This window comes from Homo sapiens, chromosome 1, assembly GCF_000001405.40.
Source record: "Homo sapiens chromosome 1, GRCh38.p14 Primary Assembly".
Taxonomy (NCBI): domain Eukaryota; kingdom Metazoa; phylum Chordata; class Mammalia; order Primates; family Hominidae; genus Homo; species Homo sapiens.
Window position 1 is genome coordinate 64349729 of NC_000001.11, and position 5489 is coordinate 64355217.

The 5489-nt window shown below is 47.3% G+C and overlaps 1 annotated feature.

The window, feature by feature from the left end:
• Positions 216-791: an enhancer, noted in NCBI's record as "NANOG hESC enhancer chr1:64815627-64816202 (GRCh37/hg19 assembly coordinates)". NCBI's record gives its function as "activates a minimal SCP1, AML or CMV promoter by ChIP-STARR-seq in primed H9 embryonic stem cells {active_cell/tissue: H9 hESC(primed)}" and the evidence as "EXISTENCE:reporter gene assay evidence [ECO:0000049][PMID:30033119]".

The window sequence follows — 5489 nt, forward strand, 5'->3', positions numbered from 1 at the left end:
AGATGGTGCCTGGCGCTCTCAGTGTCCTAGCACATACAAAAACAGTTCCTATTCGCCTTGTGCCAGACCTGATCTTCAAATCAGGAACACAGCACATCTGCACTTTGATTTGACTTCGCTGGCTGTGGGGCTTTGAAGATGAGCATTTTTCTTCATTCGAGTTCACTTTTTCTTGTTGGTAAAATGTGGGTTATGATACCTGGCCTGCCTACTTTCATGCGCGTCCGTGTGAAGAGACCACCAAACAGGCTTTCTGTGAGCAACATGGCTGTTTATTTCACCCGGGTGCAGGTGGGCTGAGTCCAAAAAGAGAGTCAGCGAAGGGAGATAAGGGTGGGGCCGTTTTATAGGATTTGGGTAGGTAAAGGAAAATTACAGTCAAAGGGGGTTTGTTCTCTGGCGGGCAGGGGCGGGGGTCGCAAGGTGCTCAGTGGGGGTGCTTTTTGAGCCAGGATGAGCCAGGAAAAGGACTTTCACAAAGTAATGTCATCACTTAAGGCAAGGACCGGCCATTTATACACTTCTTTTGTGGTGGAATGTCATCAGTTAAGGTGCGGCAGGGCATATTCACTTCTTTTGTGATTCTTCAGTTACTTCAGGCCATCTGGGCATATACGTGCAAGTCACAGGGGATGCGATGGCTTGGCTTGCCTCAGAGGCCTGACATTCCTGCCTTCTTATATTAATAAGGAAAATAAAACAAAATAGTGTTGAAGTGTTGGCACGGCGAAAATTTTTGGGGGGTGGTATGGAGAGAGAATGGGCGATGTTTCTCAGGGCTGCTTCAAGCGGGATTAGGGGCGGCGTGGGAACCTAGAGTGGGAGAGATTAAGCTGAAGGGAGGTCTTGTGGTAAGGGGTGATATTGTGGGGTTGTTAGAAGAAACATTTGTCGTATAGAATGATTGGTGATGGCCTGGATACAGTTTTGGATGAATTGAGAAACTAAATGGAATAACAGAAGGAAAAAAACAGGTATAAAAGGTCTAAGAATTGGGAGGACCCAGGACACCTGATTAGAGAGTGCCTAAGGAGATTCAGCATAGTCCTGCCAGCAAAGATTATTTATTTACTTCAAGAGTTAAGAGTGGCAGTTTGGGGATAGCACCAGGAGATATCAGCTGTGATGGCTTGGAAGAACAGTGTAAACCGGCAGTGTAAACAAGAGCAGGGCATGTATGAGTAGTTGAGAACGGTGAATAGGAGTATGACTAGACAGAAGATAGTAGGGATGACAAGTTTTTTGGGGGGCACAGTCTAAGTTGGTCTGGTGTCTGGAATGAGACTGGGGCCTAATAAAAAGGAGCGTCTATACAGGAGCTTAAATGGGCTGTACCCTGTAGCATTCCGAGGACAGGCCTGAATTCTGAGAAGGGAAAGTGGTAAAAGTATTGTCCAGTCCTTTTTAAGTTGGTGGTTGAGCTTGGTGAGGTGTGTTTTTAAAAGACCTTTAGTCCATTCTACTTTTCTTGAAGACAGAGGACCGTAAGGGATATAAAGGTTTCCCTGAATACTAAGAGCCTGAAAAACTGCTTGGCTGATTTGACTAATAAAGGCTCGTCTGTTATCAGACTGTATTGAGGTGGGAAGGCTAAACTGAGGAATTATGTCTGACAGAAGGGAATAAATGACTGCGGTGGCCTTCTCAGACCCTGTAGGAAATGCCTCTACCGATCCAGTGAAAGTATCTACCTAGACTAAGAGGTATTTTAGTTATCTGACTCAGGGCATGTTGAGTAAAGTTAATTTGCCAGTCCTGGGCGGGGCAAATCCTCGAGCTTGATGTGTAGGGAAGGGAGGGGACCTGAATAATCCCTGAGGAGTAGTAGAAAAGCAGATGGAACACTGAGAAGTTATTTCCTTGAGGATAGATTTCCATGATGGAAAGGAAATGAGAGGTTCTAAGAGGCGGGCTAGTGGCTTGTACTATAGCATAACCTGCCTTTGCTGGTGTGTGGTGATTAGGCCTGGTGGAACTGCCATCAATAAATCAAGTGTGATCAGGGTGAGGAACAGGAAAGAAGGAAATTTGGGGAAACGGGGTGAATGTCAGGTGGATCAGAGAGATACAGTCATGGGGGTCAGGTGTGGTATCAGGAATAATGTGGGAGGCTGGATTGAAGTCTGGGCCAGGAACAATGGTAATTGTGGGAGACTCAACAAAGAGTGAGTATAGCTGAAGGAGCCAGGAAGCAGAAAGTATATGCGTCAGGTATGAGGAAGAAAATAGATTTTGGAAGTTATGAGACTGTAGAGAGTGAGTTGAGCATAGTTTGTGATTTTGAGGGCCTCTAAAAGTATTAATGCAGTGGCAACCGCTGCACGCAGACATGAGGGCTAGGCTAAAACAGTAAGGTCAAGTTGTTTGGACAGAAAGGCTACAGGGTGTGGTGCTGGCTCTTGTGTAAGAATTCTGACCGCACTATCCATGCCTAGGAAGGAAAGGAGTTGTTGTTTTGTAGAAGGTGCTGGGGTTTGAGAGATTGGTCGGACGCGATTGACAGGGAGAGCACATGTGTTTTTATGAGAATTATGCCGAGATAGGTAACAGATGAGGAAGAAATTTGGGCTTGATTGAAGTAATGGGGGCTGTCTGTGAAGCTTTGCGGCAGTACAGCCTAGGTAATTTGCTGAGCTCAATGGGTGTCAGGGTCAGTCCAAGTGAAAGCGAAGAGAGGCTGGGATTAAGGGTGCAAAGGAATAGTAAAGAAAGCATGTTTGAGATCTAGAACAGAATAATGGGTTGTAGAGGCAGGTATTGAGGATAGGAGAGTATATGGTTTTGGCACCACGGGGTGGATAGGCAAAACAATTTGGTTGATAAGGCGCAGATCCTGAACTAACTTGTAAGGCTTGTCTGGTTTTAGGACAGGTAAAATGGGGGAATTGTCAGGAGATTTTATAGGCCTTAAAAGGCCATGCTGTAGCAGGTGAGTGATAACAGGATTTAATCTTTTTAAAGCATGCTGCGGGATGGGATATTGGCGTTGAGTGGGGTAAGGGTGATTAGGTTTTAATGAGATGGTAAGGGGTGCATGATTGGCCACCAAGGAGGGAGTAGAGGTATCTTATACTTGTGGGTTAAGGTGGAGGGATACAAGAGGACGACGCAAAGGAGGCTTTGGATTGGGAAGAAGGGTGGCAATCAGATATAGCTGTAGTCCAGGAATAGTCAGGGAAGCAGATAATTTAGTTAAAGTGTCTCAGCCTAATAAGGGAACTGGGCAGGTGGGGATAACTAAAAAGGAGTGTTTAAAAGAGTATTGTCTAAGTTGGCACGAGGGTTGGGGAGTTTTAAGAGGTTTAGAAGCCTGGCCGTCAATACCCACAACAGTTATGGAGGCAAGGGAAACAGGCCCTTGAAAAGAAGGTAATGTGGAGTGGGTAGCCTCCATATTGATTAAGAAGGGGATGGGCTTACCTTCCACTGTGAGAGTTACCAGAAGCTCGGCCTCCGTGATGGTCCAGGGGGCTTCCGAGGCGATCGGGCAGTGTCAGTCTTCAGCTGCTAAGCCGAGAAGATCTGGGAAGGAGTCAGTCAGAGAGCCTTGGGCCAGAGTTCCAGGGGCTCTGGGAGTGGCTGCCAGGTGAGTTGAACAGTCCGATTTTCAGTGGGGTCCCACACAGATGGGATGCGGCTTAGGAGGAATCCCGGGCTGCGGGCATTCCTTGGCCCAGTGGCCAGATTTCCGGCACGTGTAGCAAGCTCCTGTGGGAGGAGGTTCTGGAGGAACGCCTGGCCGCTGCAGTTCAGGCATTTGGAAGTTCTTGTGTGCTGGAGATGTGGCTGGGGTTTGTCTCACAGTGGAGGCAAGGAATTGCAACTTTTTTCTATTATTGCACACCTTGAAGGCGAGGTTAATTAAATCCTGTTGTGAGGTTTGAGGGCCGGAATTTAATTTTTGGAGTTTTATTTAATGTCGGGAGCAGATTGGGTAATAAAATGTATTTTGAGAATAAGACGGCCTTTTGACTTTTTAGGGTCTAGGGCTGTAAAGTGTCTCAGGGTTGCTGCCAAACAAGTCATGAACTGGGCTGGATTTTTATACTTGATGAAAAAGAGCCTAAATGCTATCTGATTTGGGTTAAAGAAAAAGGAGCATTAACCTTGACTATGCCTTTAGCTCCAGCCACCTTTTTAAGAGTAAATTGCTGGGCAGGAGCGGGAGGGCTAGTCACGGAATGAAACTGTAAGCCGGACCAGGTGTGAGGAGGGGAGGTGATAAAAAGATTATAGGGTGGAGGAGCAGAGGCTGAGGAAGAATTGGGACCTAGCTTGGCCTGGCGAGGAGCAGCCTGGGGATGAAGGGAGAGGTCAGATGGGTCTGTAGAAAAGGAAGATTAGAAAGACTCAGCGACGCTTGGGATTGGTGCTGAGGGGACAGGCGGGAGGGAAAGAAGGAAGATTTGGGACGAGTTGCACTGGGCACAGAGACTAGGAAGGGACTGATGTGTAAAAGAATGCCTGGACATCTGGCACCTCAGACCGTTTGCCTATTTTACGACAAGAATTATTTAGATCTTGCAGGATGGAAAAATTCAAAGTGCCATTTTCTGGCTATTTGGAACTACTGTCGAGTTTGTATTGGGGTCAAGCGGCATTGCAGAAGAAAATAAGGCATTTAGGTTTTAGGTCAGCTGTGAGTTGAAGAGGTTTTAAGTTTTTGAGAACAGAGGCCAAGGGAGTAGAAGGAGGAATGGAGGGTGGAAGGTTGCCCACAGTGAAGGAAGCAAGCCTAGAGAAAAGAGAGAGTAGAGAAATGGAGGGAAGGGGTTTGGGGGTTCTTACCTTCCAGAAAAGTGGGAAAAGGGGTTGGGACACAGAGATAAGAGGTCAGGGCATGGAAATAAGGGATGGGGTGCAGAGATATAAGAGGTTGGGGCACGGAAATAAGGGATTGGGGCACAGAGATACGAGGTTGGGGTACTTGCCCCTCCTCTAGAAAAGCAGGACTTGCCGCTAAGAGTGAAAGAGAAGGGGTTGAGGGGTACTTGCCTCTCCCCCAGAAAAGCAGGACTTGCCACTAAGGGTGAAGGAGAAGGGGTTGAGGGGTACTTGTCCCTCCCCCAGAAAAGCAGAGAAGGGGTAGAGACAAGGAGAGAAGGGGTTGGGGTACTTGCCCCTTCCCCAGAAAAGCGGGACTTGCCGCTAAGGGTGAAGGACTAAGGCAGGCGTCCCTGCATGGTCTGACAACTTTGAAACGTGAGCGAATAATCAGAGAGGCATCCCTGAAATGATTAAACACCAAGGGAAGGCTGTCTTCCCAGTCCATGACCGGCGCCGGAGTTTTGGGTCCACAGATAAAACATGTCTCCTTTGTCTCTCCCAGAAAATGAAAGGAATTGAAGTTAAGAGAAGGGAGAGATTGAAGAGTGGAAAGGAGAAAGTGGTTGAGGGACAGTGAGAGAGGTTGGAGAAGAGAGTAAGAAGAGGCTGCTTACCTGATTTAAAATTGGTGAGATGTTCCTTGGGCTGGTCGGTCTGAGGAC